Source organism: Homo sapiens, chromosome 15, assembly GCF_000001405.40.
Source record: "Homo sapiens chromosome 15, GRCh38.p14 Primary Assembly".
Lineage (NCBI taxonomy): Eukaryota > Metazoa > Chordata > Mammalia > Primates > Hominidae > Homo > Homo sapiens.
Genome location: NC_000015.10, coordinates 93,258,855 through 93,286,280, shown reverse-complemented (window position 1 = coordinate 93,286,280; position 27,426 = coordinate 93,258,855). Strand labels below are relative to the sequence as shown.

The following is a 27,426-nucleotide window of genomic DNA, read 5'->3' as shown; positions in this document are numbered from 1 at the left end:
TTTCAATGGCAAAAACCGCAATTACTTTTGCATCAACTTAATAGTTCTTAAATCTTTCTAGCAACAGAGCAGGTGTTAGGGACACTGGCTCTGGGTGGTTGGGTTTGCATCTTGTTCCAGTGACTTTTCCTAACCCTGTGAAGAACCGGGGAAGACTTTGAAATGGGCACACAAGATAACTGGGTGTTCTGGCTCCTGTGTCCACTGGGTTACTTCCACCTTGCATTAACTTAAAGCTCTTTTACAATTCTCTAAATTACAGAAAATTTATAGTAAGGCAAATTGTTCTTGTCCGTAGAAATGCAGATGTGTTTCAGTAACATCTTACTGGTTCTCTCATTCATTAACGAGTTCAATGAAATCTCTGACTTGTGTTCATTTTACGTTAGTATGAGGAGTCATGATTTTACTTTTTGAAAACATTTACTTTGTGAAAGCATTTAACCTTTGACACTAAGCCTCTATTTCCTCATCTGTATAATGAAAATTATAAAGATGTCCATATCTTAGGGTGGTAATGAGGATTAATGGGATAGCCATACAAAGCCCTTAGCAGTGTCTGGCACATCCTAAGTACTCAATAAACTTTACTAAACAAGACAATTAAGCTGTCAAAATTGAGTAATGGCTAATGAATAGAGTGTTCTCAGTTGTAAGTTGTTCTCCAGTATTTTTTTCTTAAGTATTTATCACTCTTATTGCTTCTTTACTCGTGAGCACTCACAGATCAAATAAATAAATAAATAAACAGCAAATGAATGTTGATTTTAAAACTTGGAGGGATACAATTATGATTCATTTAAAAATTTGAATTTAGAAAGGATTTGGGTTTTCATTTGTTTTTTATGGACACATTATATCTGCCCATGGTTGCAAACGTATATTATATACATAATATATATTATGTAACTAATTATTTATAGTTCATTGACGAAGACAACTGTATCAATATTTCATAGTCTCCCCCAAACAATGCAGGGACTTCCAAATGTCCTGCACCTGAACAACCTGAAGATCACTTATCTAATGGGCTCACTAAAAATAGCAGACAGGGAATCAGAGTACCTACTCCTGATAGACTGATTGTATACATACGTGATTAAGCCAATCTAGTTCATCTGGGATTAAGGACGCTTCAGAATGGGAACTTAGAGAAAGGCAGAAAAATAAAACAGCAGCTGCCAGGGGTGTAGCACTTGACTTATCTGTGTATCCATCCAGCAACAGATATTTTGCCATGTCCTCAAGAAGTTCAGAGTCTAGTAGGGGAGAGGAACAGTTTTCATGAAGACTTTCCCAAAACAGAGAGTGTATGATGAGCTCCCGCGGAGGTAAACAGAAGCAGAGACGCAGGGGCAAAGCTGATATCACAGAGGAGGCAACACTTCCATTGGTCCTTGAAGGATGAACCGGGTTTGAGAAGCGAACACGTCAGGGAGTGATATTTCAGGCAGAGGGACAGGAAGCGCTAAAACAGGTGTGAAAGAGCCTACTGACGTAGGGAAGAGAAAGACATCAATTTGGCTTGAAATAGTGAAATAAATGACATAAGGCTAGAAAGGTAGCCAGGGCCACATCAATGAAACCAGACTTTTTTTTTTTGAGACTGAGTCTCGCTCTGTCGCCCAGACTGGAGTGCAGTGGCGCGAACTCCGCTCACTGCAAGCTCTGCCTCCCGGGTTCACGCCATTCTCCTGCCTCAGCCTCCCCAGCAGCTGGGACTACAGGCGCCCACCACCACACCCGGCTAATTTTTTGTATTTTTCAGTAGAGACGGAATTTCACCGTGTTAGCCAGGATGGTCTCGATTTCCTGACCTCGTGATCTGCCCGCCTCGGCCTCCCAAAGTGCTGGGATTACAGGAGTGAGCCACCGCGCCCGGATTAAACCAGCCTTTTAAGCCCTACAGCCCCCAGAGGCTGATACTACAGTCCCATGTAAAACTAGTGAAGTTTGAAGACTAAGCTTATAAATTTTCTAATCACTAGAGCTAGATTTTCAAAACCTATACTTTTTCTCAAGATGTGATATTATAAAGACCTAAGAACCATGAGAATCTGAAAAGACAACTGAAAGCCCTCACTAACAACAAATTTCTGGAATACATCACACTCCTAGAGAAAATGTCCCTTATTTATGGGGGCAGAACAAAGAACTGTACTCTGTCCAGTGAGGGATGCCCAAGACTCCTTCTAGTTGTTGCTTAGCACGGCCTCTGTTCACAAATGAAAGCATCCGTGGAAGTGCCGGGCTGCTTCCTACGCAGCTGTCTTTTATTTCCATAAAGCTGTTCTTTGGCAGAGAAGCAGAGGCTGGTGGCTCTTTCCCTCCAGCCCTGTCCTCCCCACACTGAACTGTATCTGCATTACTAGGCACACACCAAGCACTCAGGATGATCTTCAGTCATCCTGAACCCTGAGGGGGTTATGGCTGGGGGATCCTTGCAGGAGATGAAGAGGATTTCCTTGGCTCATCTTTCCATTCCATGGTTCTCGAGGAGCATTTCCCCAGCAAGAAGATGGCCAAGAGATATCTACATGTACACACACTGTTCTATGCAAGTGATTCTCTGCACCTGAGCAAAGCAGCATGCCAGTAGCAGCAAAGCCATTTGAAGGGCATCATCAACCCTCAGATACATTCACCTCAGCTAAAAACAAGCACAAATAAAGGCTGCCTTTTTCCTACTTTCCTTCTCTTCCCCATTACCAAATGTGAAAGGACAGTCTTCAAACTGCCGAACTGGAGAGGTTGGCATGGGCTTCAAAAGTCAGCCACACTCATCCAAGCCATGCCTCCAACTTTCCAATATGGCGGCCAATATCTCAAGTGCTAACTTCAAGTCTTTCCCTGAATTCAGCTAGCCACTCCCACTTAGGCACAAATTGGAAATGCAGGTCAGTCCTGCAGTGTGTTTCCTAGGAACACCGGTTCGTATTTGGAAGAGCAGAGTCAGAACTTCCACCTCCATGATATGTTTTATCCAAAGCCAAGGCCTCACCTTCCCATGGGACATGTAGGTAAAGGGACCCAGTTTTGACTGTAAGGGCAGAATCATATAAAATTCAAATAGTAACTTTGGTGCATTTAGGAAGTCATGTTGGGAAGGAAAAACTGGAAGCCTTACAGGAACCTCTCAATATTCAAGGTGGGTGTATTTTATAGCAATGTCCACATGTCCTGGGCTGTCCAAGACAGTCAGCCTCCTTTTAAATATGTCGATTGAAATGTCCTGATGTGAGGGTTGGAGTTAGTTGTACACAACAAAATGGCAGAAAAGCCAACAGCAGACTGGCTGGGGGAAGCGGCTGGGGGACATTGAGTAGGTGGGACAGTGCAGCTGGGGACAGAGCAGAGAGAAGTGATGCAGGACCAGCTTGGAGCTGAGGTGAAGGAGGAAAGATGACAATCATTCTTTATAAAAGGACCATCAAAGTTAAATAACAGGCGACCAGAGAAGGAAAGAAATCACAGAACATCATTGTGTGTTCTGTGATCTATTAGGGATTAGATGCTTTCCTTCTCAGATGCCAAAAACAATAAATCTCTGGTTTCATGTTATAAAAATGAACATTTTAATTATTAGGAAATTTTTATTCATACAACATAAGGAAAAAGATAGCATTACAGTACCTAAGGGGCAAAAGTTAATTTACACACTTCACACTCTTTAGGAAAGTAATAACTTTGTTGATTTTTTTCTGATTATAATAAGGATCCTTATTATATGATCCTTAATAAGGATCCTTATTAAATGATAAAAAAGAGAAATCACTAGGAATTATAAAGACAAGAAATATCAACCATAATTTCACCACCCAGCCATCAACATCTGGGTGCCTATCTTTCCAGACTCTTCTATTCACATATATTATTTAATGTAAAAAATGAGAAAGAACTATACATGGTATATCTTGCTATTTCCCTTGTTTTTTTGTAGACATCTTTTCACATCAGCAAATTATCATGCCAAACCCCTATTGACTCCAGTGGGGAAGGCACCAGATTCAAGAGGCTGAAGAAAAGACTCAGAGCCAGAAAACGAGGCATGGGGGCTTACCTGCAGAGGAGGGAGTCCAGTGCTGGTGGGCTGGACAGGAGAACTGTAACCGATTGCAAAAGGCATGCAGTTTATGTAGCAGTTTCCTTTAGTACCTTCCCTCCCAACAGCCTCCTCCTGGCAACCTTCATGCAACCCAAAACTCGGAGCCACAGTCTTCTGTATGGCCTATGTTTTACGGGACGGGCCAGAGGCTCAGATGTTCCTCATAGACAAAAAATGAGTCTCCGTGTTTCCCACTCCCGGATTCCCTAGCTCAGAACACACATTCAGGTGTGTCTGCCATACAAGGCCATTCTCAGTGTGTGCCTACGTTATTGCTAACAGGTGCATTTGTCAGAGGCGTTCAAACCACAGCCACTCCATTTTGAGTGAGAGCCAGGAAAATAAGGCTGGAACTTGCCGGGCTGCACTCAGAAAATTAGGCATTCCTAGCCTCTAAATGTTTACAGTTAAGGGAACAAATTAATAATGTTTACTAAACAGACCCAGATTTGGGAGCATGCAGATATCTTGATATCTGGAGAACAAAAACATTCCTAATTTTGCTTTAAAGATAATATCGATTCTTGCAAAATATTGTAATTAAGAAAATTAATCCTTCATCACGAACCCTTGTAGCAGAGAACATCTCCCCACATATAGAACCGTTTTACCTAGGATGGACACGTTCCTCCTCTTAGTTTCAGGAACGTCCTACTCTGTCTATGGAGTAGCTGTTCTTTCACTGCTTTACTCTCTTCATAAACTTGGTTTTGCTTTTCACCGCAGACTGGCCCTGAATTCTTTCTCGGCGAGATCCAAGAACCCTCTCTTGGGGTTCGGATCGGGACCCTTTCCTGTAACACATTTACCATACACAAATATAAATCTACATCATCATTTACAATGACCCTATACTATTCCATGAGATAACATGCCTTCATTTTTTTAATCCTGGACAGAGAGAAAAGTGTTTCCAATTGAGCTGTATTATAAACACTCCTGAGGCACACATCCTTGTGCATAACTCTTGGCTCTTTGCCTAATTATTTCTTAGGAGAAAATCCCTAGACCTGGAATTGCTGAATTGAGCATTTGCACTTTTTCGAAGGGTGTTGATTGATGTTACCAAGAAGCCCTCTGGAAAGGCTGGACCAATGTCCCCCTTCGCCAGCAATATAGGGAAACATCCTCTCCCTAGACCTTCACCAACTCTGGGCGTTGGAAAACGCTTCTACTTCCGCTCGCACTTTTTTTTTTTTTTTTTTTTTTTTTTTTTTTGACAGAGTCCCTCGCCCAGGCTGGAGTGCAGTGGCGTGATCTCGGCTCACTGCAAGCTCCACCTCCCGGGTTCACGCCATTCTCCTGCCTCGGCCTCCCGAGTAGCTGGGACTACAGGCGCCCGCCACCGCGCCCGGCTAATTTTTTGTATTTTTTAGTAGAGACGGGGTTTCACCTTGTTAGCCAGGATGGTCTCGATCTCCTGACCTCGTGATCCGCCCGCCTCGGCCTCCCAAAGTGCGGGATTACAGGCGTGAGCCACCACGCCCGGCCCGTTGGCACCGCTTTGTCTTGACCTCCAACGTGCCTGGACAGAATCCCCGAAAGGGGAGAGAGGAGACCCAGGCAGAGGCAGGCACTCTGGGTACAGGGAGCTCCTTTCCCCGGCCTTTCTCTTCCCAGGCGGAAAGTGAAAAGGCCCCAGGGGACAATCTCTGTGTCAACCGGAGGTTGGAAAAACTCGAGGGAAAGAAGGGGCCCAGCGTTGTTTGTAACGCGCCTCCTTCACACGCCCAGGTGGAAAGGCTTTCCCTCCCCCTTCGCCTCCTCCGTCCCAAACAACAGCTGCTGGCGTTAGCCGGCGAGGAAGAAAGGGGAAAAGCAAACACAAGGGCGAGCAGGGAACAGCTCGGTCCTGCAGGTTAGAAGGGCAGGCTGTTCCCACCAGGGACCCCCTTTCAGCTGCAAACTGCCGTGTTTGACATTTCAATGCGGCCTAGGGGAGGGAAACGAGGAAGAGGAGAGAGCAAAGGGGGCCGGCCCGAAGACCTGAATAAGGCAAAGGAGACAAAAAATCTGCTTCTCTTTAATTCCAACACTTGTTCTTTCTGCCTTTTCTCCCTCAGCAGAATGTGACATTCAGGAGCAAATGGGTTTTCTCTCACTCTCTTTTTCTTTTTTTTTTCCCTTTGACATTTAAAAACAATATACACTTGGGTGCATTGAAAGTTGGGGAGGAGTTGGGGGAAGAGGGAAGAGGAAGATTGTTTCTGGAAGAATTGAACCTCAGGAAAGCTGCTTTCATCTTCCTTGTGACTTGTCCTGGCAGCCGAATTCCTTTTCATCACTTTGGAGAGGAAACGTGAAAGGACTTGGATTTTGCAAGCAAAAAAAGTAAAGTCTCCCCTATCTAGTGAATGTGCACTGTGGTGGGGGAGGGACTTGCGTATTCCTTGGGAAGGATCTTAGAACATGAAGGGGCAGTATTCCGGTGAAGCAAACCCCAGAAAACAATAGCAACAATACGTCTGAATGGGGGCCAGGGTTAAGCTGGGGTCAGAGCAAGGCTTTTCTCTCCCCACCCATGACTGAGGCTGAGCTTGTGGCACGGGGATGAGCACCACTGCTTCGGGTGGGAGTAGGGGTGAGGGGTGGGGGTGAGGGGGTGCCAGAGCCCAGGCTCCAGCTTTGGCTCCTGGATACACTGCTAGATGGAACAGAAAACACACTTCACGGCCAGGCGCAGTGGCTCACACCTGTAATCCCAGCACTTTGGGAGGCTGAGGCAGGCAGATCATCTGAGGTCAGGAGTTCCAGACCAGCCGGGCCAACATGGTGAAATCCCGTCCCTACAAAAAATACAAAAATTAGCCGGGTGTGGTGGCAGGTGCCTGTAATCCCAGCTACTCGGGAGGCTGAGGCAGGAGAATCGCTTCAACCTGGGAGATGGAGGTTGCAGTGAGCTGAGATTGCGCCACTGCACTCCAGCCTGGGAGATAGAGCGAGACTCCGTCTCAAAAAAAAAGGAAAGAAAACCCACTGCACAGTCAGGCTTGTCTCTTCCAATTTTTCTATCCCTCTCCCCAATTTGCAGATGAGAAAACTAAGGCCCAGGAAGATTAGATAGAATACTGAGAGTCACAGAGCTGGGTGATCCAGGCCCAGGACACAAGTCCTTTCCCTACCAGTGAAAGAACTGCCTCCCTCTCGCTGCCTGCCTCTCCAGCTCACTCCCTCTTCTGTCTATTAAAAAGAGATTGATCCTCCCCTCTCCATCTAAGTCACAGTCATGCAGTCGCAGTGGCTTTCTTCACCCACAACAGAGCAAAAGTAGCCAGGAAATCAAGTGATGTGTCCCCTTGGGGATGGAGAGAGGAGAAATATCACTCAAGCTGGGCCAGGAAATCAACAGGTTTGTGTCAGGCCTCTGAGCCCAAGTCAAGCCATCGCATCCCCTGTGACTTGCACGTATATGCCCAGATGGCCTGAAGTAACTGAAGAATCACAGAAGAAGTGAAAATGCCCTGCCCCACCTTAACTGATGACATTCCACCACAAAAGACGTGAAAATGGCCGGTCCTTGCCTTAACTGATGACATTACCTTGTGAAAGTCCTTTTCCTGGCTCATCCGGGCTCAAAAAGCTCCCCCACTGAGCACCTTGAGACCCCCACTCCTGCCCACCTGAGAACAAATCCCCTTTGACTGTAATTTTCCTTTATCTCCCCAAATCCTATAAAACCGCCCCACCCTTATCTCCCTTCGCTGACTCTGTTTTTGGACTCAGCCCGCCTGCAGCCAGGTGATTAAAAGCTTTATTGCTCACACAAAGCCTGTTTGGTGGTCTCTTCACTCCGACGCGCATGAAAGTTTCAAAGTGAGGGAAAGGACAACAATGTTTTCACTCTGAATTCCCCAAGGACTTCAAATGGCTATGGCTGGGGAGATTTCCTGACCTAGCCACCCTGACCCCTGAGAAATGGCTGTGTTCATGGCCTGGAGAGGTGAGTAACTGAAGGATCGCAGGCCATCAAGCACCAGGCCTGAAGCCAAGCTGCACAGCTGCCATGGGGAGGGCTGGCTGGCTTCTCCGCTCTTGCAGGCCCACGATGACGGCGATGGTGACAGGACTCACTGGGCCACACTGCACTTGTCTCGGGAGGACAGCACCATGCCACCAGGAGCCAAGGGCATGGAAAAATAACGTTCTCCAGTTAGCCTAAGGCAAATGGGAGTCTAGCATTATGCGTATTTTAAAAGATATGACCTTATTCTGTACCCCAAGCTGGTGAAGTGAGAAATATGGATTGTATAAGTTAATGTCTAGACTCCCATCAGAGTATTTTAAACCCCTTTAGCCTCCATGTATGACCAGAAAGGACTAGTCTGAATTTAAAAAAAAAAAAAAAAAAAAAACACTTTTCCTACACCACAAATTATTAGGTAATGGAATAAACCTTTTTTTTTTCAAAAGTAACTTTTAATTTTAGAATGGTTTGGATTTACAGAAAAACTGCCACAATAGTACAGAGAGTTCCCATATACCCATAAACCTCAAGCAATTTTCCCCTGCTAATAATATCTTCTGTTAGTATGGTACATTCATTACAATTAATGAACCAATAGCAATGTATTATTGTTATTATTAACTAACATCCATACTTTATTCAGATAGCCTTAGTTTCTACCAATGTCCCTCCACTCTTGCAGGATACCACCCTGGACACCACATCACATTTAGGCATTGCCTCCTTCAGCTCCTCTTGGCCCTGACGGCTTCCCAGAGTGTCTTTGGTTTTGATGGCTTTTCAAATGTGAGAGGTATTGATCAGGCATTCTGCAGACTCTCCCTTCATCGGGATTGCTCTGATGTTTTCCTGGTGATTAGACTTGGGCGAGGGATTTAGGGAGGAAGACCTCAGAGATGAAGAGCCATTCCCATCCCATCGTATCAGGGCATGTACAGTTAGCATGGTTCGTTGCTCTTAACCTTGACCACCTGATTGAGGTGGTGTTTGTCAGGTGTCTCCACCGTACTCCTTTGGAGTTCCTCCTTCCACACTGTACTCTCTGGATGGAAGTCCCGATGCACAGCCCACATGAAAGGAGAGAGGAGTTACGCTCCACCTCCTCGAGGGCGGAATATTGACATGAATTATTTGGATTTCTTCTCACCGGGAGGTTTGAAAGAGACTGTTTTCTTTTTTTTCTTTTTTCTTTCTTTTTTTTTTTTTTTTTTTTTTTGAGACAGAGCTTCGCTCTTGTTGCCCAGATTGCAATGGCGTGATCTCCGCTCACTGCAACCTCCACCTTCTGGGTTCAAGCGATTCTCCTGCCTCAGCCTCCTGAGTAGCTGGGATTACAGGCATGCACCTCCACGCCCAGCTCATTTTGTATTTTTATTAGAGACGGGGTTTCTCCACGTTGGTCAGGCTGGTTTCTAACTCCGGACCTCAGGTGATCCGCCTGCCTCGGCCTCCCAAAGTGCTGGGATTACAGGTGTGAGCCACTGCGCCAACCTGAAAGAGACTGTTTTCTAAATGTAAGCTGAAATGACTCGTTTCACATCTGCATTTTTAGTAAATAGGTGTTGGAGTATATCAGGGGCTCTCGAACAGTGTTCCACAAAGCTGTGAGGTTCCAAGAAGAAAGTTAGAGGCTTCGGGAGGAAGCAGGCAGTGAGCAGGGCTCCAGCCTCGGTGCTCAGATTACCCAGAGCCAAGAGGAGGCTGAGGAGACGTGACATCTAAATGCGATGTGAGATCCAGGGTGGGGATCCAGGGGATCCCAACTATTATTGGCTTCTATTTTAAGTATTCACATGAAATGGATTTTGCAGAAAATAATTTTGCTTGTAAAAAATAAGCTTGCAATACTCCGAAAGGTTGACTGTGAATGCCTCTACTACTTCCAGTTACCTACCTTCTAATAACATCACGAGATCACGTATTACTCATTAGATCCCATTTTTAAAAAGAAACAAAAATATTCTGTAGTAAAAGCTTTTGGGTTTTGTTCCCCTAATTTTTCCTGTGGAAAATACTGGGTAAAGTGAAAATCATCTTCAGATATGAAACCTGCAAGTCATGATCAGCTGCTAAACCGAATGTGACTATGAAGAACTGGCTCGCTCAGCCGCCCTCATCCTCAGTTCATGTCATCCCGTTTCTCGCTGAATCAGGCCACATGCATGGCCTAAAGATCTGGCTGCACAAGGCCAGGTGCGGTGGCTCACGCCTGTCATCCCAGCACTTTGGGAGGCTAAGGCGGGCAGATCACGAGGTCAGGAGATCGAGACCATCCTGGCTAACACGGTGAAACCCCGTCTCTACTAAAAATACAAAAAAAAAAAATTAGCCAGTCGTGGTGGCGGGCACCTGCAGTCCCAGCTACTCGGCAGGTTGAGGCAGGAGAATGGCGTGAATCCGGGAGGCAGGGCTTGCAGTGAGCCGAGATCCCGCCACAGCACTCCAGCCTGGGCAAGTCTCCATCTCAAAAAAAAAAAAAAGATCTGGCTGCACAAAAGGTTAAAATCTCGCCTCTCTTCTTTATTCAGCCATCTCCCTGCAAACCCGAGTTTATGTGTGAGGTGCTCTGGGTCCCCAGGCAGCAGCAATCCCTCCCAATTCCTATTCAACTTGATTTTCCAAAGTGGCAGATTTGAGTTGATGCAGCCGAAGAAGCCAGCTAAGTGTCTTCCTGAGAATAGCCTGTCCCATCTCTTTCTAAAAGGAGAGCAGATATTGCCGCAATGACAGCTGGTTGGGTCTCAGTTTTCCTGTCCACGGAGAAAAGGCCCTTCCACACTGATGCTTATTAATGGGCGATTTGGGGGGCGATTTGCCAAAAACACTAGAACCCACCACACCTGGGGATCCAGTCAACACGGTTTACTGGAAAGCGCTTTGCTTGGCAGGCAGATTGAAGTTCTAACTTTGGTGCTGTTACTTAGTGATTGCTTGAACTTGACCAAGTGACTTTACTTCTGAGCCTCAGTTTTCACATGTGTAGAATGGCAATAATAATGTCCCCACAGCCCTTATGAGGAGGAATAAGATGATATGTACACAGCGTCTGGCCCAAGGTGGGCACTAAGTGCATGAGAGCTACTGATGTGATTAAAGACAGGAAAAGTTGTTTCTAAGTACAATGTACTTGCTTCTCCTTATTATTATTATTATTACTAATTTTTTTTTTTTTTTTTTTTTTTTGGAGACAGGATCTCCCTCTGTCACCCAGGCTGAAGTACAGTGGTGCAATCATAGCCCACTGCAGCCTCAAACTCCTGGGCTGAAGTGATCCTCCCACCTCAGCCTCCTGAGCAGCAGGGACCACAGGTGTGCACCACCATACCCAGCTAATTTTTTAATTTTTTGTAGAGACAGAGTCTCACTTTGGTGCCCAGGCTGGTCTCAAACTCCTGACCTCAAGGGATCCTCTCGCCTCAGCCTCCCAAAGCATTGGGATTACAGGCATGAGTCGCCACACCCGGCCTCTCCTTGTTAATGAAAACTCTAAAGCACCATTTACAAAGAAGACAGCTGGTACTATCACCCTACAGTGGAAAACAGATCATTGAGTAGGGTCTTCCGCTGGGTCTATTTTCCAAGAAAACAAGTTGCCTAGGAAGCAAAGAATTGGGAGAATGTACCAGGAAGAGGTTGCATCATTACAGTAAACCCTTACACCACACTTACAGTGCATCTGGGTGACGGGTCTAAGCCCTTTACACCTGTGAATTCGTTTAAGCCTCTCAACAACTCTACGCAATAGAGACCATTATTATTATGCAGCTTCACAATTCTGGAAGCTGATCCTCATCATGGTTAAGTAGCTTGCCCTCCCCCAGCTGGTTAGCAGGGGGATTCAATTCCAAGCCAGGCGGTCTGACTGCAGAGCCCATTGTTGGAACTGCTACTCCTTTTTGAGCAAGGGAAAGTTAATCTTCCTATGACTGTAGTGGAAATGCTCCTTCGGTAAGAGGAGCTGTGTGCACGAGGCCAGATTTGTAAGTGACAGAAGAGACTAGAGTTGATTTGAGCAGAAAATAAATTTATTTAAAGTATCTGAAATTAAAAGCATTTGAAAAGTGTGTCAAATACAGACAATGACTGGGAAGGGAGAGGGACTGTTCTAGATTTCAAGAGACTAAAAGACATGAGGCATTTTTGGAAAGTGTACAAATTTGAATAAGGACTGGATATTACGTATTATAAAATTGTTCATTTTCCTAAGGTGACAATGGAATTACGAAGATGGAGAACGTTTTCATTCTTAGGAGATCATGCTGAAGGATTCAGAGGTAAAGGATCATGATGTGGGCATCTCAGTTTCAAATAGTTCAGCAAATATGTGTGTGTGTGCATACGCGTGTGTGTGGAGACAGGGCTTGTGACTGCAAGCATGGAAAAATGTTAACAAATCATTAAATCTGGATAAAGGCAAATATGATGTTCATTGTGCTATTCTTTTCATTTCATTGTAAATTTTAAATTATTCAAAAATTAAAACTTGTTAGAAAAAAATTCTTATGTATATGGATTGAATAGATTAACACCCCAGTCCTGACACACAGCAGTGCAGGGGACAGCACACCATAGCAGCCAGTGCAGACGGCTTCTATCACCAGCCCCACCAGCATGGGCCACCTCTTGCCACCACCAGCACCCCCATAACTATGCAATTATCACAGCCATACACCAGAGAGCATTTCCCATAGGCCATCCCCAATCCCACTTGTCTGTGGATGGAATATCTGCTGTTTTTCTGCTCCCTGGATGCAAGGGAGGCCAAGAACAAGTATCAGCCATTTCTGCTTCTACGGAGGGAGGAAAATTCCCAGAGAAAAAGGCTCCAGATGTTGGGTGGCCAAAAATACCACAAAAATCCCCGAGCAGAAGTGACGTGCTACATATCCCTTTTGTCTTGACTCCTGAGAGTTCAGAGTTTGATATTTTTGCTAAGTTGCTTCTGCTGTCCTTAGTTAAGAACTGTGATAGTTGTCCTTACTACCATTTGGTTCTTGTTCTCTTATCTTTGCTTCTTTATCATTTTACTGTCTTTCTTCCTTTTATTGTTAGCCACCTCCAATTATTATTTCTTTGTACATAGGTCAGTAATCAATAATAAGTGAATGATCACATTAGTAAGGGGCATACAGGCTGGGTGTAGTGGCTCACACCAGTAGTCCCGGCACTTTGGGAGGCCAAAGCAGGAGGATCACTTGAGACCAGGAGTTCGAGACCAGCCTAGGCCACAGAGCAAGACCCCATCTCTACAAAAAATATATAAAAATTGGCCGGGTGCAGTGGCTCACGCCTGTAATCCCAGCACTTTGGGAAGCCAAGGCGGGTGGATCATAAGGTCAGGAGATCGAGACCATCCTGGCTAACACGGTGAAACCCCATCTCTACTAAAAAATACAAAAAAAAATTAGCCAGACATGGTGGCGGGTGCCTGTAGTCCCAGCTGCTCAGGAGGCTGAGGCAGGAGAATGGCGTGAACCCGGGAGGCAGAGCTTGCAGTGAGCTGACATCGTGCCACTGCACTCCAGCCTAGGTGACAGAGCAAGACTCCATCTCAAAAAAAAAAAATACATAAAATAAATAAAAATTTTAAAAAATATTTTAAAAAATATACAAATTAGCCAGGCACAGTGGTGAACGACTGTAGTCCCAGCTACTCAGGAGGCTGAGGTGGGAGGATCCACTGAGCCTGGGAAGTCAAAGCTTCAGTGTGCAGTGATCGCACCTCTGCACTCCAGCCTGGGCAGCACAGTGAAATCCTGTCTCAAATAATAAATAAACGAATGAATAAGCGGCATACAAGGCTAGCAGTGGACCCTGGGCCTCCAAGCCTGGCTACCTTAGCAATTCCCCACACAGGGCCCCAACCCTCCTCCTGGTCTTGATTCATCCAGATTCTTCTATCACTTATCTTGAAAGTGGGTCCAAGTTTCCAACCACTCTGAGCATAACCTTCCTCCTGCATAACACAGCCAGAAGCTTGAGGAGCATTATTTAATTTCTTTTTCATATCTGTGTGGCGGTACTCATTTTATAGATGAGAAACAAACTCAGAGAAACTGAGGGCCTTGCCCTCACCGCACAATTAGAAACTGTGGGGAGGGGGAACCCAGATGCCCTGACTCCAAATTCCCTGCTTCATTCCAACCCCGCTGCCTGCTGCCGGAGTAACATTTAATCAAACAGCAGCAGCGCAAGGGCCAGGTTGGTGCCCGTCACCTGAAGACTCTTAGACTCTCTTCCCTACCTGCTACTTTCTCCACGATCCTCCACAAACTTCTCCATGGGCCCAGTTGGATAAACTCCTAAATTCAAACCCCTGTGATGTGATGAGATTTCAAGAAGCTTGTAGCTGTTCGGGAAGCTCCACTCACACAGAGATTGCCTCTCAGGGGTTTTCTTTTAAAAACAACCTAACGGACACTCCAGAACACATCACCCCTCTCTCACTAAAGGGTGAGGGTGAGATATTGACAGCATTTCTTCCTTTTTTTTTTTTTTTTGCCTACATTACTGCCCTTCCTTGGGGATATATGAGTTCTCACTCTTATTAGTTGACATTTTTATTTCAAAATTGAAAAACCACTTCTGGTTCCTTAGAATTTTCTCTCTAGCCCTTTCATAGCAGATCTCTAAGTCTGACAGTTCCTTTCCCAGGCTGTCAGAAAGAAACTGAAAGAAGCTGCAGAGTGTGGAAAATGTTCACGGCTACAAACCCAAAACTAGAAATCACTAGGGCCACCTCTGTCTCGTAGCCCCCGTCCTGTGACCTCAGGGCTAAGGCCTTGGGGCCAAGGGGCAATCCTCTCTTCTGCCGAGGCCCTGGGGTCAGCCAAGTTCAGGCAGATCTTTCCACGTATATACTTACTGAGCCACAACGTGCAGTAGGAAGGAAGACAATAAAACAGCTCATAGGTCAGCCCAGGCCTTCCCCAGCTCAGTGGGCATTTCACAGGGGCTTCCAGGGAGCCCCAACCCATTGTGATTCTAAAAGACCTGTTTCACAGAAAGTAACAGACTGAATTGCAGCCCAAGGCCAGCCAGTGATTTTTTCAGAGTTCCGCCTGCACATATTGACCTGATGAGGATTTTGCTGAGAAATCAACAAATGGCACTTGCATCCGCCTGCAGAACAAGCAAGGATTTACCAGCAGCCTCTGCTGCTGCCCCAGCTCAAGTACTCCCAGCACAGGTGGGCACTGGTCAGGCCTCCCCCCAGCTCAGGTGGAAAGACCAAGCAACTCACAGGCACTGCGAGGGTTCCCAGGGGACTTCATTAGTGGCACCTGCCCTACAGCCACACCCCGAGAGCCAAAGTGCCCTGGAGAGCACATTGGCCTTGCCTGAGTATGAATCGCAGCTCTGTCCCCAGTTGGCCATGAGGATGTGAGCTGCCGACCACCCTACAGGGCCCAGGTCAGCCCCTCCTCCACAGCAAAGAACTCTCTGCTCCAAAATGTCAATGGTGCCAAGGCTGAGAACCCCCTCTGTAAACGATACACCTAGAAAGACTGGCCCTATGAATAAATACTTCGAAATGAAAAATGTTCAAATTTAAGGAATTCATTAAATGATAGTACATCCCTTTGATAGACAACTGTGTAACTATTTAAAACAATGTAGTGGCATATTTAACGTCATAGAAAGATATCCACAATATATCGTCAAGCGAAAAACACTCTACAAAACAGACTGGATATAATCTCATATTAGTAATAAATACACACACATATTCATGCATGCAGATATATCCATCACTCTATAATCCAGTCCCTGATTGCAGGGTGGACTCTGCCCCAACCCGCTGGAGCACAGACCTCCCCGACCCCTCCAAATCCACCTCCCACACACACGTTTTCTACAAGAATTCCAAGCACACTGGACATTCTTGTAGAGGAAATAGAGAAGGCTTTCCATTGCATACTTTGCTGTAAAGTTCCTCAGACATAATGCGCTCTCCTTAGTCCCTCTACTGGGATGACTCTACCTGCGGTCCTCCCCTCAGCCCTCCCTTGACCCCCACAGAGCCAGTCTCCGTGCCTCCTACCCTCCTCCTCCTCATCTCCCTGCCAGACCCCAGACCCCATCCCCGAATGTTCCACCTGCTGCTCACATACGTCAACAGGGCTCTGCTTCAGCTTGTCCAAATGCGCTCACCCACATCCACCCACCCAGCTCCAAGGGGCCCTCCAGTTCCCGGACTTGATGCCATTGAAAAAATGGTTGTTACTTAGGTGCATAAAATATCTATGTGTGCCTGTGTTGTGTGCACGTGTGTCTAAAACACAGAAAGTCACATCGAAATGTGCACCATGAGCATCTCTTGCGGTGGGTCCACAGGTGACTTTATTTCTCCCTTTCCTCTTACTTGGTTATTTCTACAGTGAACAAACTTACCTTTAAGAAAAATGATTTTTTTGAATAGCAACCTTTACTAGTAACTTTACTAGTAAACCTTCATGAGGCTTCTTGTCTCTCTCTGAGAGGCCTAGGCCAAGTAAAATGTCCCACTGACTTTGGTTTACTCTCCACAGCCCCCCGTTCTGAAGTTGGTTCCCAACAACTAAGGGCTTTTTGAAAATTCCACTGTCTGGGCAGGGATTCACAGTCCTGGTCCCACTGACATTTGGGGCTGGATAATTCCTGGTGGTTGGAGCCGCAGGGTGTTTGGCAGCTTCCCTGGCCTTTATCCACAAGATGCCCATAGTCATCTACCCTCCACCACCACCCCTACTCCACCAAGACTGCTATTTTTGGATGTTTCTCCCCTCTGAATCTCATGTTGAAATTTGGTCCCCAGTGTTGAAGAAGGGTCTAATGGGAGGGGTTTGGGTCATGGAAGCAGAGTCCTCATGAATAGATGAGTGCCCTTACTCGGGGCTGAATGAGTGCTCACTCTCATTAGTTCCTGGTAAGAGCTGGTTGTAAAAAGAGCCTGGCACTCCCTCCCGTCTCTCCTGCTCCCTCTCGCCGTGTGCTGTCTGCACTCGTTGGCTCCCCTTTGCCTTTCACCACACATGGAAGCAGCCTGAGGCCCTCACCAGATGCCCAGTCTTGAACCTTCCAGCCAGTAGAATTGTGAGTCAAAGAAACATCTTTCTTTATTAATTACCCAGCCTTGGGTATTCCTTGATAGCAACATAAACAGACTAAGACAACAATGATGTCTCTAGACACTGGTGCAGTGTGGCAAAAACATATATGCTGGGAGTCAGTAGGCCTGGGTCCTGGCCGGGGCCACCACTAACTATCTGAGGTTAGTGGTGCCTCCTCTAGCCACCTTGGTATCAAGTTCCTCATCTTGATCAAAGAGGCTTAAAGAAAAGAATTTCTAAATATCCTTCCAACTTAAAAATTCTAATGAAGAGTGCTTCTGAAAAGCATGGTCTTGGCCGGGCACAGTGGCTCACGCCTGTAATCCCAGCACTCTGGGAGGCTGACGCGGGTGGATTATCTGAGGTCAGGAGTTCAAGACCAGCCTGGCCAACATGGTGAAACCCCATCTCTACTAAAATTACAAAAATTAGCCGGGTGTGGTGGCACACACCTGTAATCCCAGCTATTTGAGAGGCTGAGGCAGGAAAATCGCTTGAACCCGGCAGACAGAGGTTGTGTTGAGCCAAGGATCACGCCACTGCACTCCAGCCTGGGTGACAAAGCAAGACTCCATCTCAAAAACAAATAATAATAATAATAATAATAATAATAATGAAAATCATGGAAAGAATGACCTCAACTGAGTTGTGCTACCTCCCCTGTCCCTCCTAGCCATCCTCCACATCCAGCCACAGCCACTTTCCCAAACCCCAAATCTGTGCAGCCCTTCCCCACTTTACACCCTACAAAGATCCCGCCCTCCGCAGAGCCTGGAAATGGGTTGAGAAGCTTGGCTGGGCATCTGTTCTGTTAGTGCCCAAAGATGATTCAGCATTTACCCTGAGTCAGGCATGGTGTTTTCCCAAATGTGCTGTGTGGCTCTCTAACTTTTTTTTTTTCTTTGCAAAGTGGGGCCCTCTTTCCTCTTTAGCCTTCCTCACTCCTGCTCATCCTCCAGAGCTACGCCAATTGTCACTCCTCAAAGAGCCTTCCTTAAACTAGAGTCTGTCAAGGACAACCCACCCCACCCACTCCCTGAGCCACGTTGGTGGGCTGCCCACCGCAATGCCCATCTTGCCTCACATAGTCCTTGGTTCACTTCTATTGCTCCACTGAAGTCCTATGTCTGGTCACATTCCAGCCTCTGTCCCTGAAGCTTGTACCATACCCGGGCCAGAGCAGGTGTTCCATAAATGGCTCATTGAATGAGACTCTGTTCCATTGCTTATTCACTGAGAAACCTTGGCCACAGTATTTATCCTCTTTGCTATGAACCGAGTGTTTTTGTCTCCTTCAAAATTTATATGTTGAAACCTTAACCCCCAAAGTGATGGTGTTAGGAGATAGGGCCTTTGGGGGGTGATAATATCACAGGGTGGATCCCTCATGAATGGGGCTAATGACCTACCAAGAAAAGAAACAAGAGAGAGCTGCCTTGTTCCCTCTACCATGTGAGGACACAGTGAGAAGGCACCATCTATGAACCAGAAAGTGACCTTCACCAGACACTAAATATGCTTGTTCTCGGACTTCCCAGCCTCCACAACTGTGAGAAATAGATTCCCGTTGCTTATAAGCTACCAGTCTATAGGATCTTGTTGTAGCAGCGAGAACTAAGACACTCTTTTTTTTTTTTTTTTTTTTGAAATGGAGTCTCACTCTGTCACCCAAGCTGGAACGCAGTGGCACAATCTCAGCTCACTGCAACCTCCACTCCCAGGTTCAAGCAATTCTCCTATCTCAGCCTCCCAAGTAGCTGGGATTACAGGCGTGAGCCACTGAGCTTGGCCTAAGATACTCTTGAAGTCTCAATTATCTCGTCTTTAAACTGGAGATGATAATGGCTTCTCCCTCAGAAAGCTGAAGTGAGGAGAAAACGAGGCCATGCCTGTCAGAAACTTCCCAGCCCAGGCCACCCGGCCCAATACATGTTAGCAATGATCCACAGCTAATATCATCTCTATCTAGTGAGCCCAAAAACAGCTCCTGTGAGTTATGAAAGAAGGAGCAAAAAGCTTCCTGTGGGCCGGGCGCGGTGGCTCAAGCCTGTAATCCTAGCACTTTGGGAGGCCGAGGCGGGTGCATCATCTGAGGTCAGGATTTCGAGGCCAGCCTGGCCAACAAGGTGAAACCCCATTTCTACTAAAAATACCAAAAAAAAATTAGCCGGATGTGGTGATGCATTCCTGTAGTCCCAGCTACTTGGGAGGCTGAGGCAGGAGAATCGCTTGAACCCAGGAGGTGGAGGTTGCAATGACTGATATTGAGCCATTGCACTCCAGCCTCGGCAACGGAGCGAGACTGTGTCAAAACAAAACAAAACAAAAGGCTCCAGTGATGAATGCTGAAGGGTGGGAATGAGAAGCAGAAACATCTAGGAAAGAATGCCCCACTAACCCCTTGGCATGACCTGAAAACCCTCTCAGCCAGCAGGAGAGAAGACCAGGCTGCTCCCCAGGGCCCTGCGCTGCGACTTGCGGTTGAAAGTTAGGCTGTGTTAGCCACAGGCAACAGGGACAAGCCGGGAGCAGAAAGTTAGGCTGTGTTAGCCACAGGCAACAGGGACAAGCCGGGAGCAGGGGCAACCTCCCCTTAACGTGAGCCTCAGCAGAGCTGGCGCAGGCCCTGTGCTCCCTGGCCTGGCCGAAGCCGTCAAGCTTTCCTCCTGGAAACAGGGCCGGGAGCAGCCGTAGCGCCGGCAGCAGGAAGTCTGGGGCCCAGGAGTGGATGGCAAAGCAGGTGAGGAAGGGGATGCAGTGGGGCAGAGAGAAAGTGTCAGCAGCGTCTCGGGGATGTCATGGAATAAGGAGATGCTCACCTATTCCAGAAGTTTCTTTAACTGTAGATTGGAGAAGAAAAGAGACAAGACTCCAGAAGTCCCAGAGATAGCTTATTTATGTATTTTAGAGATAGGGTTTCACTCTGTTGCCCAGGCTATAGTACAGTGGCATAATCATAGCTCACTGCATCTTTGAAGTCCTGGGCTCAAGGGATCCTCCCACCTCAGCCTCTCAACTAGCTGGGACTACAGGCACGCACCACTATACCCAGCTAACTTTTTTATTTTATGTAGAGACGGGGTCTCCCTGTGTTGCCCAGGCTGGTCTCAAACTCCTGGGCTCAACCAATCCTCCCACCTTAGCCTTCCGAAGTGCTGGGATTACAGGCATGAGCCACCGTGCCTGGCCTAGAAAGAGCTTATTTTTACAAACAAGTTTAAAGCCACACTGGTGTCACCTCCCAATAACAGAGGGCAAATCCCCACTATTTTTGTCACTCCTTTTGGTCAAACCATTGCCTTCACCAAGCCCTCTTGATAAGTTTATCTGGCACTCATAACAAAATATGACACAATGACCCACCCATAACTGCCCATGAAAACCATTTTTTGGATCAGTTTTTAATGAATAAAAGGAGGTTTCTTTTTGAAGACAGTAGCTCTAGGTAGAACCAAAGAACCACTGGTGGGATTCAGAAGACAAGAAAACGGCCTAGTCTGTTTGCCTAATGTCTCCATCCTGGTCCTCAGTTAATAGCTGAGCCAGGAAATGTTGACAAAGTGTGTCATTCAGGGAAGCCCTGAGTGTTCAACACCAAGGACTGGAATAAAACCCAAGTGAAAGCCATCTAGCCCATTTCCTCCCGACTTGGCATACCCACATGTCTGGACGCGCCTAGCCACCTGCTGCCGTCCCCGCTGTGAAACTGACATGGTCAGATGTCATGCTAGCGGAAGGCTTTAATTGAAGCCGCATTAAATTAATTACATCATTTTTGCTTTCCAAGCTTAATTCCCTTGAAGTTACATCATGAAACCAGGGCATTACAAAGGATTAGGGACCAAAGGAAGGTAGAGCTGAACAAGGCTTCCATATGCCCATGACTCATGTCTAATACTCATGTCCCCAGTGTGGACCCCTGTGACTCACCACTGATATCAGCAACAATTCCATGTGGCTTCCACTCATAGGGATTTTTGGTCTTGCCTCCTGCTGCTGAGAACTCTGAGAGCTCCCTGGGTTAGTCAGAAGTCAGGGAAGCTGTAGGCAGGACTCACCATCCCAAATGGGACCTTTCAAGGTCTGTGCTTACTTTGGAAGACTTTGAGACTAATTTAGTTCAGTATTTCCCCAAAAGTGGTGTTACCAAGAATGTTAGTAGATGTTATGTGGAAAACAAAGGGTCGAGTGGTCAAATACATTTGAGAAGAGGTTTAATAAACAGGTTTCCTTCCTGGAAGCCTCCTCTAAGCCTTCAACCTGCTAAGTTCACTGTGAATGTCCAGAAAGCAATAGAGTATGCAGCATTTCCCAAAGCGGGTACACCATGGAATCGCCTCTGCAGAAGAATCCTGTGGGGTTGGCACACTGATAAACACATTTTGGAAAAGGCTTTTTGGTTGTAGCTTCTCCTCCCACCATCCTCCCTTGCCATGAAGATAGAGCAGTCTCCAGACACCTGTTTCTAAAACAGCGACTTCACATCCATCCCTGCCATTTGGCACATTCTGCAGGAGTTCACACAAGCAAATAAACATGTTTTGGTTTCCACTGAAGAACCACTATGCTGTGTGGCATGGCAATGCTGAGAGGGGCCTCTGGGACTGCTTGATTCTTATTTTACCAGAAGAAGATGTGGCCGATGGAGCAGAAGTGACTGGCTGGAGATAAGACAGCTAGAGGGACACAGAGCTAAGACTGGATACCCATTGTCCTAAAACTCCACCCGCAATAATGGGATCAGCCTCTCAGGTACAAATAAAGGGAGTTACTAGTTGATTAGCTGATTAGTTACTAGTTACTAAATTACAGAGTCATTGTTAGATAAATGGATTACTAGACCCATCTAGCAAAGAAGCTTTTGAACAGAACAAGCAGCAACACTCTAGAGGTGGTAGGCAGTGCCAAGAGTTAGGAGACAAAGGCAAATGACTATGGGTTATTCTTTTCTGAGGTTCCACGAAATCCTATGCACAACTCTACCCAGAATTTACCACATTAAAATGCAATGAAATATTTGGGGATCTTCTTTCTGTATCAGAGTTCTTGGTTGCAGACAACAGAATCCACGCTAGCTAATTTAAGCAAAAAGATGGTTTTATTAAACGGTAGTGAATAGTGCATGCAATCGTCAGGAGAAACAGAGAATGAGATCAGATGTGATGCAAGCAGGAATAACAGAGCCAGGAGAAATGCCCAATCACACCACAGACCTGCTACAGGGAACACTGATGGCTTCTGCCACCCACCACTGGAACCTATGATACCGGGCTGGATGCTGAAAACCCACAGCAGCCCTAGAAACCAGTTACCCCTGCCACCATGCTTGTCAGAACACCTGCATAAAATCAGCACCTCACCTTGCTCACTTCTGCATCTGGATCTCCAGCAGAGGCACGTGCTAGGCCAAGCTAAGTCACATGCCTCACCATTTGTTATGGACTGAATTGTGTTTTTCCTAAATTCAGATCTCTATGATAGTCCTAACCCCTAATAAGACTGTATTTGGAGACAGGACATTTAAGGGAGTAATTTGGGTTAAATGAGCTCATAAGGGGCGGAGGGAGCCAATATGACTGGTGTCCTTATAAGAAGAGGAAAAGATGCTGGGAATGCACATATACAAAGAGGAAAAACCACGTAAAGACACAGGGAGGAGGAGGAGGAGGAGGCCATCTGCGAGCCAAGGAGAGAGCCCTCAGGAGAAATCAACCCTGCCAACACTTGGATCTTCGACTTCCAGCCTCCAGAACTGTGAGACAATAACTATCTGTTGTTTAAGCCATCCAGTCTGTGGTATCATGTTATGGCATCCAAGCAAACTAATACACCCTGGATGAAAGGGAAACATAGTTTGTAGGTTTCCAGCCTTAGTAACTGGGGGGAAGAAAATGGGAAGAACCGATGCACAGAATCCACCACACTTTATCTAAACAACAGGCTTGCCACTGAGTTTAGAAATGCGTGGGGGCATTTTTTGTTGTTGTTGCAATGGAAAGAGGGAATGCTGTTGGCATTTAGAGGGTGGAACCAGTGGTACTAAATACCCTGTAATGTATGGACCATCCCAGGCCACAAATAATTTTTGCACAAAAATGCTAACAGCTCTGTCTGTTGAGAAACTCTAGGCTAGAATGGGAGCCTCATGAAAACAGAAATGAGTTATTTTCTCTGACATCAGCACCCGAGTGTGGCACCTAGGAGATGCTCAATCAAGTTGTGTTGAATAAACGTATATAAATGAATGATTATAAGGAGGAATGAAAGAATAAATGAATGGGCAGAATAAGAATGGAAACAGCCCAGAACTAGAAGCAACTAAATATCTGAGTCATACAGGCATAAAATTATATTTTCTTTTTATTTTTTTCTCACTGACAATTGAGCTTGAAATCGAAAAGTTGAAACAGAGGTGCACTGAAGCGATTGCATGGCTGATTGATTGTTTGGTTCGTTAATGAGCAGATCGGTGGAGGATGGAGTCAGGCAGGAGAGATGGGCTGGGGTTGGCCATGGGGAGTTAATCAGTCACAGTGTGGGCACAAGGCGAGAGAGTCCTGGGGCCATGAAACTTACATACAACCAAAACCCTTCTTTTACATATATCCATCACCATGACAGAGCACTTGAATGGTATCAAAATCTCACTTTTTACAACCAAAACATTGCCCCCACCAAGCCCTCTTAATAGGTCAATATGTCACCTGAAGGGTGACACCATGACCAATATCTGCCCATCACAGCAATTTTTAGATTAGTTTACAATGCAAGTAGGTCTGTTTTTGAAGAATGTAGTCGTAGGTAGATAAAACCAGTGGCAGAAATCAAAAGACTTTAGAAAACAGAGTAGCATGGGTGCCTTTGATCCCCAACCCTAGTCCTGAGTTGAGACAGGAAATATTGCCAAAGTATGTCTTTCAGGAAAGCCCAAGGTGTTCAACACCAAGGAATAGAATAAAACCCAAATGAAAACCATCTAGCCAATTTCCTCCCCAGTTGGTGTACACGTGTCTGGATGTGTCAGCCACCTGCAGCTGTCCCCCTTGTGAAACTGACATGGTCAGATATCATGCTGCGGGCTCTCTGCAACTTCTCTTGGACACATCTAAACTTCCCTCCCAGCATGACCACATCGCCTCCCACCTGGGCCACAACAATTGCTAACTCTCCACCCTGCCAGGACTCCCCTGCACCCCGCAACTGTGCCACACATTAATCTCTTCCAGCCTAGTTAACATACCTGTGTTTCCTGTCATATTTCACACACAAAAATACATCCAATGAGGCAATTAAAACACCAATAGAAATAGAAAATGAGAACCAAAGAAAAGAGAACCACAGTAGTCCAACCATTTGCCCCAGTGTTTCCTGGGAGCCATGGCACAAAGGAAGTCAGATGGATTGTGTAAATTTCATTAATGAAGAAGAAGAAAACTACAAACTCTTGAAGGAAAGCAGCTCTTCCCAAGTTCCTACATTAAGAAAGGACTCCTACAGGATTTCATGTGGAGGACAATGAAAGACACTAGGAGCAAAGTCCTCAGCGGCATCATTCACTAAAGATGCAATAGCAGATTTCATATGAAGGTTTCTTCCTCCTGAGCCAAGAGTGTAAAATGTAAATGCAGTTTAGAGAAGGCATCATTCCCAATAGTCTCATTGTTTTTTTTTTTTTTTTTTGAGAAAGAGTCTCACTCTGTCACCAGGCTGGAGTGCAGTGGCGCGATCTCCGCTCACTGCAACCTCCGCCTCCCGAATTCAAGGAATTCTCCTGCCTCAGCCTCCCGAGTAGCTGGGACAACAGGTGCCCGTCACCATGCCTGGCTAATTTTTTGTATTTTTAGTAGAGACGGGGTTTCACCATGTTAGCCGGGATGGTCTCGATCTCTTGACCTTGTGATCCGCCCGCCTTGGCCTTCCAAAGTTCTGGGATTACAGGCTTGAGCCACTGCGCCCGGCCTCCAATAGACTCATTTTTCTTAAGTCTGCATTTATCGTGTTACTTTACTGCCCAGAACCAATGTTGTCTCTTTCTTCCCTACCTCTTCTGAGTGGCTATCTCTAGCCTGGCTCCCAGGCTTTTCCTACTGATGGAAACTTCCCCCAGCACTCCCTAGCATGCCCTCGAGGCCCTCCTTATCTAAGGACAGGGCTCCTCCCCACCTTCCAATTCATCTCAGACTGGAAACCAAATCCTGCAGCTCCTGCAAGGAGAGAAGTGGAATGGGAAGGAAGGAGAAGAATAAAGGGGAGAAGAAGGGAGGAAAAAAAAAACCGAAGGAAGAAGGAAAGGAGCCAAAAGAGAAAAGAGATACCCTGACACTCCAACTCCAGGGATGGATTCACACTTAAGGCTGGGTCTAAACCCTGCGGCATCCATGGACTTTCCATCCTGCCCCCGTCTTGGCCGTGCCTCCCCTTTCCTGAGTGGCTGGGTGCTGCACCGCGTTCCCCCTACCGCGTGCCCTCTGGCACCTCAGGCTCTGGCAAGACTAAGAACTTGACGTTCCTCCAAACACACCAAAACGGTCTACCCAATATCCACTCCCTGCTTCTTCCTTAATTAACAGACTTCGGGCTCTATTCAGGGCTGCAACGTGCTCAGATAAAAGACTGCATTTTGCTGCCTCTCTTGAATCTAGACAAAAGTCCCAGGGTGAGGTTTCTGCGAAGTCTTTTTCAAGGGAACTGATTCAGCTGGAAGAAAGAGCCATTACCCCTTGCCCTTCCCCTTCACTCTGCCTGAAATACTATAGACCCCTTATTCAAGGGGGAGTTGTGTTCCAAGACCCCCAATGGATGCCTGAAACTGAGGACAGAACTGAACCCTATATATACATTTTTTTTTCCTATACCTAGACACCTATGATAGTTTAATTTCAAGGCTGGGCACAGTGGCTCTCGCCTCTAATCCCGGAACTTTGGGAGGCCGAGGTGGGTGGATCATCTGAGGTCAGGAGTTCAAGACCAGCCTGGTCAACATGGTGAAACCCCATCTCTACTAAAAATATAAACATTAGCTGGGCATGGTGGCGCGCGCCTGTAATCCTAGCTACTTGGGAGGCTGAGGCAGGAGAATCGCTTGAACCCAGGAGGCAGAGATTGCAGTGAGCTGAGATTGCATCGCTACACTCCAGCCTGGGCAACAGAGCAAGACTCCATTGTTGTTGGTTTTTGTTTGTTTAAGTTTAATTCCTGGCCAGGCACAGTGGCTAACACCTGTAATCCTAGCACTTTGGGAGGCCAAAACGGGCGGATCACGAGGTCAGGAGATCAAGACCATCCTGGCTAACACAGTGAAACCCCGTCTCTACTAAAAATACAAACAATTAGCCAGGCGTGGTGGCGGTTGCCTGTAGTCCCTGCTACTTGGGAGGCTGAGGCAGGAGAATGGTGTGAACCCGGGAGGCAGAGCTTACAGTGAGCCAAGATCGTGCCATTGCACTCCAGTCTGGGTGACAGAGCAAGACTCCGTCTGGGGAAAAAAAAAAAAAGTTTAATTCATAAATTAGGCACAGTAAGAAATTAACAATAACTAATAAAAAATAGAACAATTATAACAATATGTCACTATCACTACTCTTGCACTTTTAAGAATTATACCACAAGCACAATACCACATTAGTTGATCCGATAACCAAGACCACTAAGTGACTAACAGACAGTGTATACAGCATTGGGATGGAGCGGGATGGCATGAGATTTCATCGTGCCACTCAGAAGAGTGCACCATTTAAAACTTATGAATTGTTTATTTCTGGAATTTTCCATTTAATATTTTTGGACTGCAGTTGACTGCAGGTTAACTAGAAGTTGTGGAAAGTGAAACCATGGATAAAGTGAAACCATGAGCATGAATGCTTGTCTCCAAATCACACTTACTGTACAGACATCCTGACTGGAACTCCAGCAGCCATCTTGTGACTTTGAGGATAGAAGTCATATGCCTAGAATGGAAAAGCAGAGCGAGAGAGAAAAAAAAAATGCTTCTATAGCAGCCCTGAATTGCTTGCTTTTAGACTTCTCTACGAAAGAGAAGTTAGCCTTCATTTAAATCATTTATTTGGTTTCCTCTCTTAGACAGCTAGATCTAAATGCAAAACAACAGCCACGTGGTTTTCTGCCTCTGAGCCACGGCGTAGCTGTTCTCTCTGCCAAAAACCCCTTCATCCCTGTCCTCCCGTGAATTTCTGGTCAGGTTAGAAGCCTCCACTGAGGCATCCCTCCCCGCGTGGAGCTTCTTCAGTTGACCTCTCAGGCAGGCC

General features: G+C 46.3%; 1 long non-coding RNA gene across 1 annotated transcript in view, besides 5 other annotated features; it reads right to left on the bottom strand.

Annotated features, from left to right (window-relative positions):
- LOC105370982 (uncharacterized) overlaps positions 1-27,426 on the bottom strand; it is a 171,228-nt gene that overhangs the window by 97,410 nt on the left and 46,392 nt on the right. Inside the window, exon 5 of the long non-coding RNA XR_007064770.1 lies at positions 27,044-27,108. This is a non-coding gene — a long non-coding RNA (uncharacterized LOC105370982). The remainder of the gene's footprint in view (positions 1-27,043; positions 27,109-27,426) is intronic.
- Positions 6,867-7,748: an enhancer, noted in NCBI's record as "NANOG-H3K27ac-H3K4me1 hESC enhancer chr15:93821762-93822643 (GRCh37/hg19 assembly coordinates)". NCBI's record gives its function as "activates a minimal SCP1, AML or CMV promoter by ChIP-STARR-seq in naive H9 embryonic stem cells {active_cell/tissue: H9 hESC(naive)}" and the evidence as "EXISTENCE:reporter gene assay evidence [ECO:0000049][PMID:30033119]".
- Positions 7,749-8,631: an enhancer, noted in NCBI's record as "NANOG-H3K27ac-H3K4me1 hESC enhancer chr15:93820879-93821761 (GRCh37/hg19 assembly coordinates)". NCBI's record gives its function as "activates a minimal SCP1, AML or CMV promoter by ChIP-STARR-seq in naive H9 embryonic stem cells {active_cell/tissue: H9 hESC(naive)}" and the evidence as "EXISTENCE:reporter gene assay evidence [ECO:0000049][PMID:30033119]".
- Positions 9,889-10,389: an enhancer, noted in NCBI's record as "H3K4me1 hESC enhancer chr15:93819121-93819621 (GRCh37/hg19 assembly coordinates)". NCBI's record gives its function as "activates a minimal SCP1, AML or CMV promoter by ChIP-STARR-seq in naive H9 embryonic stem cells {active_cell/tissue: H9 hESC(naive)}" and the evidence as "EXISTENCE:reporter gene assay evidence [ECO:0000049][PMID:30033119]".
- Positions 10,390-10,890: an enhancer, noted in NCBI's record as "H3K4me1 hESC enhancer chr15:93818620-93819120 (GRCh37/hg19 assembly coordinates)". NCBI's record gives its function as "activates a minimal SCP1, AML or CMV promoter by ChIP-STARR-seq in naive H9 embryonic stem cells {active_cell/tissue: H9 hESC(naive)}" and the evidence as "EXISTENCE:reporter gene assay evidence [ECO:0000049][PMID:30033119]".
- Positions 11,618-12,119: an enhancer, noted in NCBI's record as "NANOG hESC enhancer chr15:93817391-93817892 (GRCh37/hg19 assembly coordinates)". NCBI's record gives its function as "activates a minimal SCP1, AML or CMV promoter by ChIP-STARR-seq in naive and primed H9 embryonic stem cells {active_cell/tissue: H9 hESC(naive and primed)}" and the evidence as "EXISTENCE:reporter gene assay evidence [ECO:0000049][PMID:30033119]".